This window comes from Homo sapiens, chromosome 2 (assembly GCF_000001405.40).
Source record: "Homo sapiens chromosome 2, GRCh38.p14 Primary Assembly".
In the NCBI taxonomy this organism is placed as follows: domain Eukaryota; kingdom Metazoa; phylum Chordata; class Mammalia; order Primates; family Hominidae; genus Homo; species Homo sapiens.
Genome location: NC_000002.12, coordinates 1,370,878 through 1,392,872, shown reverse-complemented (window position 1 = coordinate 1,392,872; position 21,995 = coordinate 1,370,878). Strand labels below are relative to the sequence as shown.

General features: G+C 43.5%; 1 protein-coding gene across 6 annotated transcripts in view, besides 1 other annotated feature; it reads right to left on the bottom strand.

The window, feature by feature from the left end:
- The window catches only part of TPO (thyroid peroxidase), a 169,627-nt gene extending 150,801 nt beyond the window's left edge, over nucleotides 1-18,826 (bottom strand). For all 6 annotated transcript variants that reach the window (XM_047445652.1, XM_047445655.1, XM_047445654.1 and 3 more), the window contains exon 1: nucleotides 18,471-18,826. The gene's annotated coding sequence lies outside the window, so the exon portion shown is untranslated. The remainder of the gene's footprint in view (nucleotides 1-18,470) is intronic.
- Nucleotides 4,333-4,901: an enhancer, noted in NCBI's record as "OCT4-NANOG-H3K27ac hESC enhancer chr2:1391744-1392312 (GRCh37/hg19 assembly coordinates)". NCBI's record gives its function as "activates a minimal SCP1, AML or CMV promoter by ChIP-STARR-seq in naive and primed H9 embryonic stem cells {active_cell/tissue: H9 hESC(naive and primed)}" and the evidence as "EXISTENCE:reporter gene assay evidence [ECO:0000049][PMID:30033119]".

Sequence of the window (21,995 nt, the reverse complement as noted above, 5' to 3'; positions counted from 1 at the left end):
CAAATAGATGCAATAAAAAATGATAAAGGGGATATCACCACCAATCCCACAATAATACAAACTACCATCAGAGACTACTATAAACACCTCTACACAAATAAACTAAAAAATATAGAAGAAAAGGATAAATTCCTGGACAAACACACCCTCCCAAGACTAAACCAGGAAGAAGTTGAGTCTCCGAACAGACCAATAACAGGCTCTGAAATTGAGGTAATAATAGCCTACCAACCAGTCCAGGACCAGAGAGATTCACAGCCGAATTCTACCGGAGGTACAAAGAGGAACTGGTACCATTCCTTCTGACACTATTCCAATCAATAGAAAAACAGGGAATCCTCCCTAACTCATTTTATGAGGCCAACATCATCCTGATCCCAAAGCCTGGCAGAGACACAACAAAAAAAGTGAATTTTAGACCAATATCCCTGATGAATATAGATGCAAAAATCCTCAATAAAATACTGGCAAACCAAATCCAGCAGCACATTAAAAAGCTTATCCACCATGATTAGGTTGGCTTCATCCCTGGGATGCAAGGCTCGTTCAACATATGCAAATCAATGAACATAATCCATCACGTAAACATAACCAATGACAAAAACCACAGGATTATCTCAATAGATGCAGAAAAGGCCTTTGATGAAATTCAGCAGCCTTTCCTGCTAAAAACTCTCAATAAACTGGGTATTGATGGAATGTATCTCAAAATAATAAGAGCTATTTATGACAATATCATACTGAATGGGCAAAAATTGGAAGCATTCCCTTTGAAAACTGGCACAAGACAAGGATGCCCTCTCTCACCACTCCTATTCAACATAGTGTTGGAAGTTCTGGCCAGGGCAATCAGGCAGGAGAAAGAAATAAAGGGTATTCAATTAGGAAAAGAGGAAGTCAAATTGTCCCTGTTCGCAGATGACATGATTGTATATTTAAAAAACCCCATCGTCTCAGCCCCAAATCTCCTTAAGCTGATAAGCAACTTCAGCAAAGTCTCAGGATACAAAATCAATGTGCAAAAATCACAAGCATTCCTGTACACCAACAACAGACAAACAGAGAGCCAAATCATGAGTGAACTCCCATTCACAATTGCTTCAAAGAGAATAAAATACCTAGGAATCCAACTTACAAGGGATGTGAAGGACCTCTTCAAGGAGAACTACAAACTACTGCTCAAAGAAATAAAAGAGGACACAAACAAATGGAAGAACATTCCATGCTCATGGATAAGAAGAATCAATATTGTGAAAATGGCCATACTGCCCAAGGTAATTTATAGATTCAATGCCATCCCCATCAAGCTACCAATGACTTTCTTCACAGAATTGGAAAAAACTACTTTAAAGTTCATATGGAAGCAAAAAAGAGCCCACATTGCCAAAACAATCCTAAGCAAAAAGAACAAAGCTGGAGGCATCACGCTACCTGACTTCAAACGATACTATGAGGCTACAGTAACCAAAACAGCATGGTACTTGTACCAAAACAGACATATAGACCAATGGAACAGAATAGAAGCACCACACATCCACAACCATCTGATCTGTGACAAACCTGACAAAAAGAAATGGGGAAATGATTCCCTATTTAATAAATGGTGCTGGGAAAACTGGCTAGCCATATGTAGAAAGCTGAAACTGGATCCTTTCCTTACATCTTATACAAAATTAATTCAAGATGGATTAAAGACTTAAATGTGAGACCTAAAACCATAGAAAATCTAGAAGAAAACCTAGGCGATACCATTCAGGACATAGGCATGGGCAAGGACTTCATGACTAAAACACCAAAAGCAATGGCAACAAAAGCCAAAATTGACAAATGGGATCTAATTAAACTAAAGAGCTTCTGCACAGCAAAAGAAACTACCATCAGAGTGAACAGGCAACCTACAGAATGGGAGAAAATTTTTGCCATCTACCCATCTGACAAAGAGCTAATATCCAGAATCTACAAAGAATGCAAACAAATTTACAAGAAAAAAACAACCCCATCAAAAAGTAGGCAAAGGATATGAACAGACCTTTCTCAAAAGAAGACATCTATGCAGCCAACAGACACATGAAAAGATGCTCATTGTCACTGTTCATCAGAGAAAGAAATGCAAATCAAAACCACAATGAAATACCATCTCATGCCAGTTAGAATGGCAATCATTAAAAAGTTAGGAAACAACAGATGCTGGAGAGGATGTGGAGAAATAGGAACTCTTTTACACTGTTAATGGGAGTGTAAATTAGTTCAACCATTGTGGAAGACAGTGTGGCGATCCCTCAAGGATCTAGAAATAGAATTACCATTTGACCCAGCAATCCCATTACTGGGTATATTCCCAAAGGATTATAAATCATGCTACTGTAAAGACACATGCACACGTATGTCTATTGCAGCACTATTCACAATAGCAAAGACTTGGAACCAACCCGAATGTCCATCAATGATAGATTGGATTCAATTCTGCCACAAGAAAATGTGGCACATATACACCATGGAATACTATGCAGCCATAAAAAAGGATGAGTTCATGTCCTTTGCAGGGACATGGATGAAGCTCGAAACCATCATTCTCAGCAAACTATACAAGGACAGAAAACCAAACACCACATGTTCTCACTCACAGGTAGGAAATGAACAATGAGATCACTCGGACACAGGAAGGGGAACATTGCACACCGGGGCCTGTCAGAGGCTGGGGAGCTGGGGGGGGATAGCATTAGGAGAAATACCTAATGTAAATAACGAGTTGATAGGTGTGGCAAACGAACATGGCACATGTACACCCATGTATCAAACCTGCACGTTGTGCATGTGTACCCTAGAACTTAAAGTATTAAAAAAAAAAAAAAAGAAAAGAAAGAAATAACCACTTAACCTCTTGTATGCCAGGGGACACCACAGTAAAAAACCAGGCGTGGTCCCTGGGAAGAAAAGGTGGCTTATTGGAAAAGACAAACAGCAAACCAAAGACAAATAGCAATTTGATCTAAGTGTCCTGGTTGCTCATCACTGATGAAACAATTCTAAAATACTACAATGTGAGAGCTGACCCAGTCAGGTAGGTCAGAGGAGGCTGTGTTGTGGAAAAGGCTTTTAATCTGAGGTGGAAAGAATTCCTGGAAACAAGCAAGGGAGGAAAAGCCACACATCAGATGCCAGGAGGGGAGGACAATGGATTATCAGTGGCAGGAGTGGCTCTGGGGACAGAAACGGCCCAAGTAAGAGCATGCCATGGCTTGGGAGGAAGCCCTACTGAGCAAATCATTATCACCATGGTAAGGACTAACATTTGCAGACATTTCCACCCACCAAGACTGTTTAAATATTCTACTTGTATTAATTAATTAACAATCTGATGAGGAAAGTAGTGTTATTTTTCCCATGTTACATGAAAGGGAATTAAGCACAGACACATGGATGAGTAAGTGAAACTGAGATTCCAATTACAGTTGGGAAGTAGAACTCTTGTCTCTGAACATGACTTTACTCTCTGGGAAACACTTGCCCAGGAAGATGAAGTTGCAAATACATTTGTTTGTTCAATGAATGTCCTGAAAATCAATAACCCGGACACCAGATCTCACTAGACTTGGCCACGACAAGAACTGGCAATGGGCTCCTCAGACACCCTCTGCTCTCTGAGACGCCCTCAGCACCCTTCCCTGTGGCACCACTGTCTCCTCATCCCAGCACAGTCTCCCCTAGGAAGACCCGACCTGAGCCAGGCCCTGCCCCTCCTGAGTGAGCTGCCAGCCCAGCCCAGCTTTGTCAAAAGTTTATTCAGTTGTTTTTCCCCCAGAGATTTGGCTGTCAGCAGAATAAAACAAACAAACAAAAAAATAAAACACAAAAAAACTTCTTAATTGTTCACTTATTTAGAACAAGAATGTATCCCCAAATTGATTTTTATTCACTTATTTGGGGCAAAAGTGTACCCTAAAATTTTCTTTAGAGAATTCTGACCCGTCTAGGAAGGTACAGGTGGAAATACTTTATTTAGATGATTAACGTCGGGCAGTTCCAAGATGGCCAAATAGGAAGAGCTCCAGTCTACAGCTCCCAGTGTGAGCGACGCAGAAGATGGGTGATTTCTGCATTTCCAACTGAGGTACCAGGTTCATCTCACTGGGGCTTGTCAGACAGTGGGTGCAGGACAGTGCATGCAGCACACCGAGTGTGAGCCAAAGCAGGGCGAGGCATCACCTCACCTGGGAAGTGCAAGAGGTCAGGGAAATTCCCTTTCATAGCCAAGCAAAGCTGTGACAGACGGCAGCTGGAAAATCGGGTCACTCCCACCATAATACTGCGCTTTTCCAATGGTCTTAGCAAACGGCACACCAGGAGATTATACCCTACGCCTGGCTCGGAGGGTCCTACACCCACAGAGCCTCGCTCACTGCTAACACAGCAGTCTGAGATCCAACTGCAAGGCGGCAGCGAGGCTGGGGGAGGGGCACCCGCCATTGCTGAGGCTTGAGTAGGTAAACAAAGCGGCCAGGAAGCTCGAACTGGGTGGAGCCCACCACAGCTCAAGGAGGCCTGCCTGCCTCTGTAGACTCCACCTCTGGGGGCAGGGCACAGACAAACAAAAGGCAGCAGAAACCTCTGCAGACTTAAATGTCCCTGTCTGACAGGTTTGAAGAGAGTAATGGTTCTCCCAGCATGGAGTTTGTGATCTGAGAACGGACAGACTGCCTCCTCAAGAGGGTCCCTAACCCCCAAGTAGCCTAACTGGGAGGCACCCCCGAGTAGGGGCAGACTGACACCTCACACAGCCGGGTACCCCTCTGAGACGAAACCTCCAGAGGAAGGATCAGACAGCAACATTTGCTGTTCAGCAATATTCACTGTTCTGCAGCCTCTGCTGCTGATACCCAGGCAAACAGGGTCTGGAGGGGACCTCCAGCAAACTCCAACAGACCTGCAGCTGAGGGTCCTGTCTGTTAGAGGGAAAACTAACAAACAGAAAGGACATCCACACCAAAACCCCATCTGTATGTCACCATCATCAAAGACCAAAGGTAGATAAAACCACAAAGATGAGGAAAAAACAGAACAGAAAAACTGAAAATTCTAAAAATCGAGTGCCTCTCCTCCTCCAAAGGAACGCAGCTCCTCACCAGCAATGGAACAAAGCTGGACAAAGAATGACTTTGACGAGCTGAGAGAAGAAAGCTTCAGATAATCAAACTTCTCCAAGCTAAAGGAGGAAGTTCGAGCCCATCGCAAAGAAGTTAAAAACCTTGAAAAAAGATTAGACGAATGGCTAACTAGAATAACCAATGCAGAGAAGTCCTTAAAGGACCTGCTGAAGCTGAAAACCAAGGCACAAGAACTATGTGATGAATGCACAAGCTTCAGTAGCCAATTCGATCAACTGGAAGAAAGGGTATCAGTGATTGAAGATCAAATGAATGAAGTGAAGTGAGAAGAGAAGTTTAGAGAAAAAAGAATAAAAAGAAATGAACAAAGCCTCCAAGAAATATGGGACTATGTGAAAAGACCAAATCTATGTCTGATTGGTGTACCTGAAAGTGATGGGGACAATGGAACCAAGTTGGAAAACACTCTGCAGTATATTATCCAGGAGAACATCCCCAACCTAGCAAGGCAGGCCAACATTCAAATTAGGAAATACAGAGAATACCACAAAGATACTCCTCGAGAAGAGCAACTCCAAGACACATAATTGTCAGATTCACCAAAGTTGAAATGAAGGAAAAAATGTTAAGGGCAGCCAGAGAGAAAGGTCGGGTTACCCACAAAGGGAGGCCCATCAGACTAACAGCTGATCTCTTGGCAGAAACTCTACAAGCCAGAAGAGAGTGGGGGCCAATATTCAACATACTTAAAGAAAAGAATTTTCAACCCAGAATTTCAGATCCAGCCAAACTAAGCTTTGTAAGTGAAAGAGAAATAAAATCCTTTACAGACAAGCAAATGCTGAGAGATTTTGTCACCACCAGGCCTGCCCTAAAAGAGTTCCTGAAGGAAGCACTAAACATGGAAAGGAACAACTGGTACCAGCCACTGCAAAAACATGCCAAATTGTAAAGACCATCGATGCTAGGAAGAAACTGCATCAACTAATGAGCAAAATAACCAGCTAACATCATAATGACAGGATCAAATTCACACATAACAAAATTAACCTTAAATGTAAATGGGCTAAATGCTCCAATTAAAAGACACAGACTGGCAAATTGGATAAAGAGTCAAGACCCATCAGTGTGCTGTATTCAGGAAACCCATCTCACATGCAGAGACACACATAGGCTCAAAATAAAGGGACGGAGGAAGATCTACCAAGCAAATAGAAAACAAAAAAAGGCAGGGGTTGCAATCCTAGTCTCAGATAAAACAGACTTTAAACCAACAAAGATCAAAAGAGACAAAGAAGGCCATTACATAATGGTAAAGGGATCAATTCAACAAGAGCTAACTATCCTAAATATATATGCACCTAATACAGGATCGCCCAGATTCATAAAGCAAGTCCTTAGAGACCTACAAAGAGACTTAGACTCCCACACAATAATAATGGGAGACTTTAACACCCCACTGTCAACATTAGACAGATCAATGAGACAGAAAGTTAACAAGGATATGCAGGAATTGAACTGAGCTCTGCACCAAGTGGACCTAATAGACATCTATAGAACTCTCCACGCCAAATCAACAGAACATACATTCTTCTCCACACCACACCCGCACCTATTCCAAAATTGACCACATAGTTGGAAGTAAAGCACTCCTCAGCAAATGTAAAAGAACAGAAATTATAATAAACTGTCTCTCAGACCATAGTGAAATCAAACTAGAACTCAGGATTAAGAAACTCACTCAAAACCACTCAACTAATGGAAACTGAACAACCTGCTCCTGAATGACTACTGGGTATATAACAAAATGAAGGCAGAAATAAAGATGTTCTTTGAAACCAACGAGAACAAAGACACAACATACCAGAATCTCTGGGACACATTTAAAGCGGTGTGTAGAGGGAAATTTATAGCACTAAATGCCCACAAGAGAAAGCAGGAAAGATCTAAAATTGACACCCTAACATCACAATTAAAAGAACTAGAGAAGCAAGAGCAAACACATTCAAAAGCTAGCAGAAGCCAAGAAATAACTAAGATCAGAGCAGAACTGAAGTAGATAGAGACACAAAAAACCCTTCAAAAAATCAGTTAATCCAGGAGCTGGTTTTTTTTTTGAAAAGATCAACAAAATTGATAGACCGCTAGCAAGACTAATAAAGAAGAAAAGAGAGAAGAATCAAATAGATGCAATAAAAAATGATAAAGGGGATATCACCACCGATCCCACAGAAATACAAACGACCATCAGAGACTACTATAAACACCTCTACACAAATAAACTAGAAAATCTAGAAGAAATTGATAAATTACTCGACACACACATTCTCCCAAGACTAAACCAGGATGAAGTTGAATCTCTTAATAGACCAATAACAGGCTCTGAAATTGAGGCAATAATTAATAGCTTACCAACCAAAAAAAGTCCAGGACTGGACAGATTCACAGCCAAATTCTACCAGAGGTACAAGGAGGAGCTGGTACCATTCCTTCTGAAACTATTCCAATCAATACAAAAAGAGGGAATCCTCCCTAACTCATTTTATGAGGCCAGCATCATCCTGATACCAAAGCCTGGCAGAGACACAACAAAAAAAGAGAATTTTAGACCAATATCCCTGATGAACACTGATGCAAAAATCCTCAATAAAATACTGGCAAACTGAATCCAGCAGCACATCAAAAAGCTTATCCATGATCAAATGGGCTTCATCCCTGGGATGCAAGGCTGGTTCAACATACGCAAATCAATAAACGTAATCCAGCATATAAACAGAACCAAAGACAAAAACCACATGATTATCTCAATAGATGCAGAAAAGGCCTTTGACAAAATTCAACAGCCTTTCATGCTAAAAACTCTCAATAAATTAGGTATTGATGGGATGTATCTAAAAATAATAACAGCTATTTATGACAAACCCACAGCCAATATCATACTGAATGGGCAAAAACTGGAAGCATTCCCTTTGAAAACTGGCACAAGACAGGGATGCCCTCTCTCACCACTCCTATTCAACATAGTGTTGGAAGTTCTGGCCAGGGAAATCAGGCAGGAGAAAGAAATAAAGGGTATTCAATTAGGAAAAGAGGAAGTCAAATTGTCCCTGTTTGCAGATGACATGATTGTATATTTAGAAAACCCCATCATCTCAGCCCAAAATCTCCTTAAGCTGATAAGCAACTTCAGCAAAGTCTCAGGATACAAAATCAATGTGCAAAAATCACAAGCATTCTTATACACCAAAAACACACAAACAAAGAGCCAAATCATGAGTGAACTCCCATTCACAATTGCTTCAAAGAGAATAAAATACCTAGGAATCCAACTTACAAGGGATGTGAAGGACCTCTTCAAGGAGAACTACAAACCACTGCTCAATGAAATAAAAGAGGATACAAACAAATGGAAGAACATTCCATGCTCATGGGTAGGAAGAATCAATATGGTGAAAATGACCATACTGCCCAAGGTAATTTATAGATTCAGTGCCATCCCCATGAAGCTACCAATGACTTTCTTCACAGAATTGGAAAAAACTACAGTTCATATGGAACCAAAAAAGAGCCTGCATTGCCAGGTCAATCCTAAGCCAAAGAACATAGCTGGAGGCATCACGCTACCTGACTTCAAACTATACTACAAGGCTACAGTAACCAAAACAGCATGGTACTGGTACCAAACAGAGATATAGACCAATGGAACAGAACAGAGCCCTCAGAAATAATGCCACACATCTACAACTATCTGATCTTTGACAAACCTGACAAAAACAAGAAATGGGGAAAGTATTCCCTATTTAACAAACGGTGCTGGGAAAACTGGCTAGCCATATGTAGAAAGCTGAAACTGGATCCTTTCCTTACACATTATACAAAAGTTAATTCAAGATGGATTAAAGACTTAAATGTTAGACCTAGAAGAAAACCTAGAAGAAAACCTAGGCAATACCATTCAGGACATAGGCATGGGCAAGGACGTCATGGCTAAAACACCAAAAACAATGGCAACAAAAGCCAAAATTGACAAATGGGATCTAATTAAACTAAAGAGCTTCTGCACAGCAAAAGAAACTACCATCAGAGTGAACAGGCAACCTACAGAATGGGAGAAAATTTTTGCAATCTACTCATCTGACAAAGGGCTGATACCCAGAATCTACAAAGAACTCAAACAAATTTGCAAGAAAAAAACAACCCCATCAACAAGTGGGCAAAGCATATGAACAGACACTTCTCAAAAGAAGACATTTATGCAGCCAACAGACACATGAAAAACTGCTCATCATCACTGGCCATCAGAGAAATGCAAATCAAAACCACAATGAGATATCATCTCTCACCAGTTAAAATGGCGATCATTAAATGCTCAGGAAACAACAGGTGCTGGAGAGGATGTAGAGAGATAGCAACACTTTTACACTGTTAATGGGACTGTAAACTAGTTCAGCCATTGTGGAAGACAGTGTGGCAATTCCTCAGAAATCTAGAACTGGAAATACCATTTGACCCAGCCATCCCATTACTGGGTATATACCCAAAGGAATATAAATCATGCTGCTATAAAGACACACGCACACTTGTGTTTATTGCGGCACTACTCACAATAGCAAAGACTTGGAACCAACCCTAATGTCCAACAATGATAGACTGGATTAAGGAAATATGACACATATACACCATGGAATACTATGCGGCCATAAAAAATGATGAGTTCATGTCCTTTGTAGGGACATGGATGAAGCTGGAAACCATCATTCTCAGCAAACTATCACAAGGACAGAAAACCAAACACTGTATGTTCTCACTCATAGGTGGGATTGAACAATGAGAACACATGGACACAGGAAGGGGAACATCACACACTGGGGCCTGTTGTGGGGTGGGGGGAGGGGGGAGGGATAGCATTAGGAGATATACCTAATGTAAATGACGAGTAATGGATGCAGCACACCAACATGGTACATGTATACATATGTAACAAACCTGCACGTTGTGCACATGTACCCTAGAGCTTAAAGTATAATAAAAAATATATATATTAAAAAAAAGAAAGAGCATCTTTTTCTTTACATATCTATGTAGTCCAGGTCTTCCTGGAATTCCTGGTTGTGACAATCCTAGCAAGGTTCTTTCCATCAGTTTCAGGGCAGTTTGCTGCCTGTATCCTTTGCAGCTGTTCAGCTTCACCAGTTTTGGTAACTGTGGCAAAGGCAATGCTTTGTTCACTAAAATACTTTAGTTTTCCATTGGGCAGTTGACAAGATGATATTTCTCATCATGAAGACATGATGTCTCATGTTTTCATGGAGGCAAGTGAGTGTTGCTGGCCAGTAAGGCATGGGCAAGAGGGGTGTGCGCCCCCTTCTCTCTGCTTCCATAGTGGCCTTGGGGTTTCTGTGTTGAAGATGCTGACCCTTCAAGGAGGAAGCTTACATTCTTGAATCACCTCTTGGAAAAGAGCAACTGTGTGGAGCTGCCCAGCCAGGAATATCTGTGTTGTCATTTATACTTGGGAGCTGTTTGCCGCAGAAGCCAGCTGACAGTTGCTCTGAAAGGTAGTGCCACTCCTGTGCCCTAGTGGGACTGAAACGCTCCCGGGTTCTACGTGGGCATCGCCGGTGGCCTCTGAGGGTGGGCTGTGCAGTCGTGGAGATGCATTTTAAAGGGTTTAATGCATCAGGGAGCTTCTTTCGGTCAAAAGATAGACTGCAGGTGATCTCTTCTCTGCCAGTGCCTCCTTGGGATTGGGGTAAAAACTCCTCCATCTTCCCATCCTCATGAAAGCAACCACAATTTACAGCTGCGTTTATGTGTGCTTATGCTGCCAGGCACAATTTCTCTAATTCTCAACAATTTCATGAGGTAGAGACAATTGTTATTCTAATTTTGCAAATGAGGACATTAAGGCTGCAGCACCCGTGAGTCATGGAGCTCAGTTCCACATCACTTAGAGGCGCATGTCCAAACTACATGGTCCTGTAGCTCCTAAAAGGATGTGGTTTTGCACATTTAATTCTTCACTTATCCCATAGCACATCTTCATGTTAACATCAATGGGTTAAAACACAAAACATATTTCAAGAAGAAATTGTCACACTGTAAAATTTTATTAGTATAGCTAAGACTGACATTTTCTACATAAAGCAAAGGATTTATCAAATAAGTTGTCCGATATGGTTTGGTCTGTGTTCCTGCCCAAATCTCATGTTGAAATGTCATCCCCAGTGTTGGAGGAGGGGCCTGGGTGGAGGTGATGGGATCATGGGTGGATTCTCAGGTAGTATCTGGCACCACCCCCTCGTTGCTGTTCTCAGGATGGTGAATTCTTATGAGATCTGATTGTTTAAAAGTCTATGGCTTTCTTTTCATATGTCCTTTGGCTGCATGAATGTCTTCTTTTGAGAAGTGTCTGTTCATATCCTTCACCCACTTTTTGATGGGGTTGTTTTTTTCTTGTAAATTTAAGTTCTTTGTAGATTCTGGATATTAGCCCTTTGTCAGATGGCTAGATTGCAAAAATTTTCTCCCATTATGTAGGTTGCCTGTTCACTCTGATGATAGTTTCTTTTGCTGTGCAGAAGCTCTTTAATCAGATCCCATTTGTCAATTCTGGCTTTAATTGCCATTGCTTTTGGTGTTTTAGTCACGAAGTCTTTGCCCATGCCTATGTCCTGAATGGTATTACCTTGATGGGTGCAGCAAACCACCATGGCACGTGTATACCTATATAACAAACCTGCACGTTCAGCACATGTGCCCCAGAAATCAGAAATTAAAGTGCATATATATAGTCTATGGCACCTCCTCTCACTTTGTTTTCTCTTGCTCCTGCCCCCACCATGTGAGACACCTGCTTACCCTCTGCCTTCCCCCAGGATTGGAAGCTTCCTGAGGCCTCCATAGAAGCAGATGCCACCATGCTTCCTAAACAGCCTGCAGAACTGTGAGCCAGTTAAGCCTATTTTCTTATAAATTACTCAGTCTCAGGTATTTCTTTATAGCAATGCAAGAACAGCCTAATGCATTCTCTCTTCTGGATATGTTTATTTTTTCCAGATGAGACCTATCCTTATGGAAACATCTAGCCCATTGAATGAGCCTGTTCTAACTCAGCTGGGGGCTGTGATTGTGTCACTTCAGTTTTTAGGTAAATTGCTGAAAACTGGGGAGTGTAAAACTGGAACAATTTATTTACTATTTTCTTTTCATCATGAGTTTCCATATCAAGAGAGACATTCTGTTAGTAACAAATGCTTCAAATATAGAATTTTTTTTTAGAATATAATGATGAACATGACCATTTGTTTTACTCTAACATTATATGGCTATCTTAAGGAAATTATAAAATAGACTTTTTTTTTTTTTTTTTTTGAGACAGAGTCTCGCTCTGTCGCCCAGGCTGGAGTGCAGTAAAGTGATCTCGGCTCACTCCAAGCTCTGCCTCCCGGGTTCATGCCATTCTCCTGCCTCAGCCTCCCGAGTAGCTGGGACTACAGGCGCCCGCCACCACGCCCTGCTAATTTTTTGTATTTTTAGTAGAGACGGGGTTTCACCGTATTAGCCAGGATGGTCTTGATCTCCTGACCTCATGATCCGCCCACCTCGGCCTCCCAAAGTGCTGGGATTACAGGCGTGAGCCACCGCACCTGGCCAATAAATTAGATTTTCATGGGAAAAATTGTGTTTCAGGGTTATCAAATAAAATAAGGAACAAATAGATTTTCTACGTAATCTTTTTTAAAGTCACATTTGACATATTTTCAGAGTCAGTGTAGTAATGAGACATTTAATGCCATTTATCACCAAACTGTGAACTATACTGCTCTTAAAACTCTCGACTCTCAGTACTTGGATCTTGGAAAATGTGATGTCTACAGGACACATGCCTGCCCCTAAATTTCTCAAAGATTTTGTTATGCCTGGTATTTTCATTTTTAAAGTTATTTCTTTAGGTTGAGTTAAGAAAGTCCAAAGATTCTTTACTAAATGAAAAAATACTGACAGAAACATTATGATATTAAATAATATTATGACATGTGTGAACAGCCGTGTCCTGCCAGGAGGAGGGAGCCTGGAAAACCCTTGTGTTTAGTCCCCACACAGGGAAAGTGCCAGGGAAGATGGAAGGCTGTGAGCTATACCGACGCCCTGGTTTACAAGAAGGCCCGAGATTATTGAAGCACATCTGCGTAAGGAGACATCACCCACAGGAGCTGAGAGGTGTCTGGAGGGCCCCAGAGCCGAGGGGCTTATGGTGAACCCCTCTGCATTCCACGGCTCCCTTCTGAATTCCAAGGTGACTCGTGATCAGCCTGGCTTGATCTACCGCCTGTTTAGGGATTGCTCCAGCCCTGGACAAGCCCTGGGCTGAATGTCACATATGGCAAGAGGGCTCATTCCTACCAAGATCAGAGCTCACTCACTCTTATGTTCAATCTCCTTGCCTTCACTCATTTTTTTGAGACAGATTCTCACCCTGTCACCCAGACTGGAGTGCAGTGGCGCGACCTCGGCTCACTGCAACCTCCGCCTCCTGGGTTCAAGCGATTCTCCTGCCTCAGTTTCCTGAGTAGCTGGGACTACATGCGTGCGCCACCACACCTGGCTAATTTTTATATTTTGAGTAGAGACTGGGTTTCGACATGTTGGCCAGGCTGATCTTGAGCTCCTGACCTTAGGTGATCCACCTGCCTCAGCCTCCCAGAGTTCTGGGGCCTTCACTCTTTAAATGAAATAAAACAAATCTAAGTTTATTTGGCTTATCACAGACATTTCAGATTTCCAAAGTCAATGCCAAGTGCTGGAACTGATCCACTCAATGGTGTGCACCTCGCCAGGGTTCAGTGAGCCGCCTTTGAGAGGAGCAGAACAACTTCCGCCTAGTTTCCCCAGAACAGGGGGAGGCAGAATCCAATCAGAGCCCTCTGCCAAATGGGTTTAACATCTCTCGGACCTTCTGAAACTGCAGCTTCACCCTACAGCAGCTCAGGCACGAACCCCCCGCCAGGTGCACACAGCATCTGCCGGGTGCACGGCATTCCCACAGATCTCTCTTCTCCCACTGTCACACCAGCACGGGCCACATGGACAGGAACAGGGCCTCCCAGGGAGAGCAGCACGGAGTCGCAGTCGCCCTGGAGGCAGGTGCTCCAGCCCTGGCCGAGCCTGGGCAACCCTGGAGAGATCCCACATTTGACGCTTTCTCAGACACCTGACTCACAGCCCCCAGGACAGGTGGCAAATGATCCTGTGCCATCAGCCGCTAAGCATGGGCTGTGTGCTCTGAGCCATCGGTAACAGGCACATTTGAAGGGGCAGTGAATGTTTCAGGCCATGGGGCTCCATCACCTCTGCTCAGCACCACAGCCCTGGGAAAAAGCAGCTCCTGACTGTGGCCAGAGAAGGCCCTGCACTCCCGTGAGGCTGGGCTTGCAGAAACTGGAGAGGGAACCAGGGTTGGCCCATGGGCTGTAGTTAGCTGGCCCCGCTCTCCAGCAACGTAAGGGCACTTGCCAATTAAAAATATAAACAGGCAGTGTATTAGTCCATTTTCATGCTGATAAAGACATACCTGAGACTGGGTAATTTAAAAAGAAAAAGAGGTTTAACGAACTCACAGTTCCACATGGCAGGGGAGACCTCACAATCACTGAGGAAGGTGAAAGCCGTGTCTTAAATGGCCACAGACAAGCGACAATGAGAACCAAGCAAACGGGGTTTCCCTGATAAAACCATCAGATCTTGTGAGACTTATTAACTGCTATGAGAACAGTATCGGGGAAACCACCCCATGATTCAATTATCTCCCACCAGGTCCCTCCCACCACAAGTGGAAATTATGGGAGCTACAATTCAAGATGAGATTTGGGTGGGGACACAGTGAAACCATGTCAGGCAACCACTCAAGCTCTTCATACTCTGAGTCTGGAGCTGGGGGTGAAGTCGAGAATGAGGAAGCACATCCTGGGTGAAGATCCACTAGCAGACATAGCACCAGGTACAGAGGGGCGGCTGCAGCTCACCCTGCCAGCCGCTGGCCTGCATTTCCCCACCTGTGCTAACTCTCCCAGCGTGACTCACCCAGGGCCAGGAGAACCTGTGAGGACAAGACCGACATGAATTTGGTGGGTTCTGAGGACACAGGATCCGAAAGCAGCCAGGCAGGGCAGACTCACAGCCTGGTCCCTGGGTCCTGCCCTTGTCCTTCAAAGACTCTGTCTGGGTTCATTTTGAGCTCTTGTGAAGGTGCAGAAAATTCCTCTCCATAAACAGAGAAGCCTGGCTCCTCACTTCTGCTTCTGAGCCACGGCGAGGTAAGGGTTTCCTGAGAGCACAGAAATCTCCAGAATCTCCTCGAGGCTAACTTTTGAAAATGCCTTTCATAAAACTGTGACAGCAATCACAAAAGGGCCATGGCTCCCTGTATTATCCTTGTAGGGCTTTTGAAATCTACCAGAATAATCCGTGAGAGAAAGACCGTATTCCAATGCATACGACTTTCTTCTGTGTAAGTCAAGCTGAAAAATAACCAGAGGTGCTGATCTAAAGGCAGCAGGAAGACTGGTTTACCCGAAGGACACACTGTGGAGCTTCTTTCTGCTTTGCATTTACTTTGAATTCCAGTTTTAAAGGAACAGTTTATTAAGGGAGAAAACATTTTTATCACAAAAATTAAATATTATTTAAGTGGCCGAGCTCTGACTCTGGTGTAAATTCACCAGTGGGAGCCAATAAAATATACATCCTTTTCCCTAGCCAAATTCCATATTATCTATTTTGTCTTTGCCAAATATAAAGTAATTTTTAAGTAAAGCCCTGACCAAAAGCTGTCTTCACTGGTTTTTAATATCATTGTTATCCTGCCAGTGCCCTTGGGAATTTTACTTTTTTTAGATATATGAATTTGGTCTTCCTTTCACTACCAGAATTATTTACATTTGTTTAGCTTTTAAAACAACATCATTCTGTTGTTTTACTTTTTGTTAAAGAATATTACTTTTTGTTTGAGAATATCACTTTTTGTTAAGTGTCTTTACTTTTCTTTCACAGGAGAAAGGGGTGGTGTGAAGGGTGCTCGGTCATGGGTCTGGGAGGTGGAGGGTGAATCTCCTGCCCTGCCTCATCCGTGTGGACTGGACTGGGGGTGCTGTTCAGACCAGGCTCTCTCCTCCACTATCAGCACTGCCCTGGGCACCATCAGGAACAGCCTCAGCCCCACGCTGGTGCTCCCGCGAATGCCCCGTGTAATCACCACGGGTGATGTTGAGACCACGCCTCACTTCAGAAGGCTCATCATAACAAGCAAAAATGTCACTTTGGATCAATGGCTAAGTGGAAATTGAATCTCTATGAATACTACAAAATAGTTTCTTCATAACGTATTTAACAAATCAAAGAAACTTTTAGGAACCTCCCTAAACCATTGTTTAAAAGAGCAAAATGTCTGGTCAATCCAGTTCACATCAACGCATGTGGGAGCTTTCACTGGAAAGGAATAAAGACAGAGGAGACACTCTGAGTCTCAGTTTCAGAGCGAGACATTTGCATGGCCCTGGTTCCTGGGGCAGGCAGTGCAGTGATGGCGGGTTTTATACCCATTAGCTCTACAATGGATAATTTGGATTTACGAAGAAAATACTGAGATTGCTAACTCCTCGGAGGAACAGATGGTGCCGCGCTCATCTTTATTTACAGGAATTACCACGATGCACGTGCTGGGTGTCCCATGTCCAGCAAACGCAGCCTGCAGCAGCTGGGCTGCAGGTGTGGGGCGTGGCACCCTGAAGAGGAACCCGTTGTGCTGGATGAAGCACTGTCATTCCCTCATGCATAGCATTAGAGAAACGTTCGTTGTGCGTGACTAGAAAAATCCTCCTGTCTTCCCACCTCTGGTGTCTCAAACAAAGGAATCAGAGATTCGCAGTGAGGAGGTGGCTTCCCCAAAAACCAGAACTAGAGTTTAGAATCAGAGGCCTGAGCAATGCCTGCAGGGTTGGAAATGAGGGTGCTCAGGACATGTTTCATAAGGACGATGTAGACACGGTGAAGGAAACACACTCTCAAGACCCCAAACTCACGATGCCACAGGGAAGGTTAAGCTTGGGACCCGCGTCACACAAAACTGCCTCCCTTTTATTCCCAAACAGGCAGCTGTGATTTCCAGGGCTTACCTTATCGTGTGTAAAACGTGGATTCACTAGCGCTAATCAGAGGCCCACGAGATTGCGGCCACATGCCTGACTGTGCCCCACTGCCTGCCCTCCCTCTTTTTCCTTCTCCCCTCCTGCTCGCTCTTTCCCCTTTAAAGTTCCCAAAACCCTCTTTGGAAAAGGCTCGGGTCACAGGTCCCACTGGGACTTGTGTTTGTTTTTTCCGGGCACATTCTCAATCTTAGCAACATAAACTTCTAATTGACTGAGATCTGCTTCGGTCACTTTTTGGCTTACAATACTGTAAACCAAAATAAATCCTCCCTTTCACGACCAAGGTGAGTTTCCCAGTTCACCAGTTTCCTATGCCAGTGTAGGTCTGAGTCGAGCCCATCTCTCCTATCGTCTGCCTAACCAACATGATTTTTCAGCCCTAAGCAATGCGTGGTCAAAGTAATTTAATGCAATTTTCTTCATGCTTTTTTTTCCCTTTTTAAATTTTAAAAACTTAAAAAAAAATTAAAAACTCTTTAATCAACATTTTCAGTTTTTCTATTCTTAAATATCTGTTGAAAAGGTATATCTATGGTCGGGTGCAGTGGTTCATGCCTGTAATCCCAACACTTTGGGAGGCCAAGGTGGGTAGATGACGAGTTCAGGAGATCGAGACCATCCTGGCTAACACAGTGAAACCCCGTCTCTACTAAAAATACAAAAAAAATTTAGCTGGGCGTGGTGGCGGGTGCCTGTAGTCCCAGCTACTTGGGAGGTTGAGGCAGGAGAATCGCCTGAACCAGGAGGCGGAGGGTACAGTGGGCCGAGATCGAGCCATTGCACTCCAGCCTGGGTGACAGAGCAAGACGTCATCTCAGTAAAAAAAAAAAAAAAAAGAAAGAAAGAAAGAAAAGATTTCTCTATAAATTACAGGGCTCATGTTTTCTGGTGTGATGTTCTTTTCAAATAAATCCTCATTAACATTTTTGCAGAAATGGTTTCAAATTTTGTCAGTTAAAACTTAGAACCCGAAAGGGGCAAACACATGCTTGTCCTGGAAAGAAGAAATTAAACACAGTGACCACGGTTTCTATGACTTATTAAGTTTGTAACACAGCTGGGAAACTCATTATCCCTGTGTGTATGACAACAAAAGATTAACTTGCTCAAAAATTCAGCCCGTTCAGTAAAAAGGAAAAGGAAAACACAGAGATCCTACCAGGTGGACGGTGGGTAGTGGGCCGCCAAGGTGCTGACTGACGGAGCCCTTTCTGAGTGAAGGGCCCGGTGTCTCACGGTGAGGCTGGGGTCAAGGAAGGATTCCGGCACCGACCGAAGGCAGGGTCTGAGCTGGGTGCGTGTTTCCAGCCCATTGCCTTCAATCCTTGTAGCAACAATCATTGCATTTCCAGCAGGCTGGGTAAAAAAGATTTCCATCTGAATTATCTTTCCTTATAATCTCGTGAAGAGGAGACCATGGCTGAGGGCTTCATCCAGAGGGAAGTGGCCACAGAGGTGAACTGCAGACTTGGCCGCCGTGACCATCTCTCTTGTTTGTTTCTGAGTGTGCAAGGCGTTTCTCCAGGATTTCCCCTCAATTTAAGGGAGGCGAGTGCAGGTTTTGTCTGTTTGCTCACGCGGCCTTTCCAGCTCTCGGATACTTGTTGGCCGGGGGCAAGTCTTCCTCTCATGGCCCAGATGGAAGTCATTGTGAAGTAGGTCCCTTTTCCCCGCCCACCATGGAATCAGCCACGGGGCTGATCTGAGATGCCAGCTGGGGAGAAAACTACGGTTCTGCTGGGAATTCTCAACGTGATTCACCTGTGTGTCCTCAGTGTGAACCACTGGCTGATGCAGGGAGAGCGGAGAGACTGTGGGAGGGGCGGCAGTGGACTTGTTTTCCCATGAGGCTTATTTCAGACGGCTTTTAAATACCGTTCTTCTTCCCAACGGACACAGGCACTTTTAGATCTGCCATGGGGCAAGAACTGCTGTTTACAACACTCAGCATGTTAGTTCTGAAACTGAAATGGCCCATCAAGATAGGTTTCAGGTAGCAGCTTATCTTTTACAATATCATCTACAGTTGGCTTAAGTATTTTGAAGCTACATATATTCATCTTAAAACTGTTTCAACTTTTTCTTCACCACAAACAACTGTATTTTAGTTTGCGTATTGTAATACCTCTGGGCCTGGAGCTTGGACTGTCCATGGACCTTTGAAGTTAAAGGCATAGGAAAAGATGCTGAGGCTGTGCCCTGGATGGGGGATCATTCCCACAATGGTAAAACTGCCACCCACACTTTCCTGTGTTTGAGTTTTCTGTGACATTTCATTATTATATACCCTGCACAAAGTAGGTATTCATCTATCTGTGCTTTTAAAAAGATTGTCCTGTTGGAAAAGATTTGGGGTAACCTGAATTTCGAAGAGTCATGTAGTCCGTCTTATGCTACGTCCCACCCAGACTCACACAGTTTCACAGAGAAAAAAATGACATAGTAGAGATAGTGTGTAGGATACATGTATAAGGTCAGTTATATTTATTCTATCCCGTGTTTATACCCAAACTCCCATATGTACACTCTATTAATAGTGAGAAAGAGTATTGACTCTGAGTTTTAAGATTAAAAACACAAAAAACCCATTATAATATAATCCAGTTTATGGAAATTCTGCTAAGGTGGCAAAATTACTGTGCACTTTGTACAGATTGTCCAGAGGGGTGTACAGCAGGATAGCTTCCTACCTGCTCTATGAAAACCCTAGTTCCTGACATGTGCTGTGGAGTTGTGTTTTAAAGGAAGCACCTGATACAAAACTGACCACCTGTTGGGAACCAGTGTGTCAGTGTCCTTCTTGAAACATGGCTCCCAGAACAAAAGTCCACGTTTCCTGTGTGAACTGACCGGTTCTGGGTGCATGGCGAGGGGCAAGCCATTGTCTGCCCATCTTCCTTCACGGTGAGCACCAGAATGACATCGGCGTTTTCAGCAGCTATGTGCCATGGCTTATCCCAGCCTGTGAGCTGCCCATCCATCCAAGGTGCCCATCCACCCAAGCTGCCCATCCACCCAAGCTGCCCATCCATCCAAGCTGCCCATCCACCCAAGGCCGTGGCTGCAGCACCTGTCACAGTGCCTGGTCCCCGGGTTAATGCTCTACAAATACTTGTTGAATGGATCAAAAACACTTTCACCTAAATGTTCCACATGCTTCTCCCAACAGCTACTGTTTGGGAGACCGGGCTCCCCTTGAATCTTTTCTTTTTTAAAATTCAATGATAGTACTTTCTTCTCTAAAACATCGATTGTGTTAGTTTATCCCAGGGTTTTAACCTGTTAAGGGCTTTACAAAGTGTTAATTTTGTACTTCAGCATATGCCGCCTCTGGGTCTCTGACTTAGCCATGCTCCTGACGATGTGCCAGGCATGTCTTCATTTTCCACCGTAACCTGCATTTTCTGTGTGTACTTCTCCAGCTTGCTGATAGGGAGTGCTTGCAAGCGCTTCACTGAAATGAGGAACTTATGTTTCTAAGCCCGCGTCTATCGGGGCCTTTTTCACAGATAGAAAGTGCTTTTCCTTAGGGAAATGGTGCTGCCTGTGAATGCTTCCTGCTGCTTTTCTAGCGTGTGTGCACAGATTCCATTCATAACTTCAGGAGGCACCTGGTTGCATGGATAAGGACACCCTTAGAGATGGCAGGCACCGGCTCAAATCTCAAAACCCACTTTTCCTGGTTTGCTGAGAACTTCCTCCCAGATTTCTCACCTGATGCCCATAATGAGGTTGTGAGGGGGTGAAGAACAGGGATTGTGACTTTTTCTATTCCATATATGAGCAAAAGAGTTAAACATGGTAAATTCTTCACACGGGTTTAAACTTGCTTGTGGTCACCTCAGAAAGGACACAGAGTTCTCCCAACTCCTAAGCCAACAGTCTTCCAAGCCTTGGCTCCTCTGGTTTTGACAGCCAGTGTGCTGACAACTGTATTTAAAAGTCAGGTCGGAAACCTGTGGGGATTGTGGGCATCGGGGGAGGGGTTATGTACCCTCCACCTGTCTATCTCTTGTCCCAAACACTGAAAGCAGCAAACCAGAACAACATGGAAATGTTCTCCATCTTATATCTGTTTTGAAAAATCCTGTCCTAAGTTTTATCTGTCTGAATGGACAATAATCAAATGGTCCCTCCACCAGCAAGGGCAGGGCAGGATTCGTGGTTATACATTTATGAGAAGCTGTCAGCAAATCAGAAGAGCTGAACATCAGTTCCCAAGAACTATGGGCCCGGAGGGGTAAACTAGCTTTCCGGCTAACTGCCGTGATTCCTCTGGCACTGCTGTGATACGCAGGGAGTCCTGGAGGAAGAAAACAGTCAAGAAACACATGAAAATAGGCTGAGAACGCAAACAACGGGTCATGGGCGGTATCAGTGATTGGACGATTGTTACAAGGCATTTGCTGATCGCTGTCTCATATTCAAACACACCGAGTTCAACTTAATACTGAAAGTAAGATTTGGAGAAACTTGTTTATATGCTGAGAATGTTTTATTTTTCTGTAATCAAATTTATTTAGTTAGAGCTTTTTTCCTTTGAAAACTAAAATGTTCTTGAAGTTCACTAAAATTCAGACCATAAAATGAGAAAAATAAAGTTCACGAGTCATTTAAAAATATGGTTCCTAATGTTCAGAACTACTTGCTGTAAGTCTCATTCTCAATAAAACTGGACCTCATT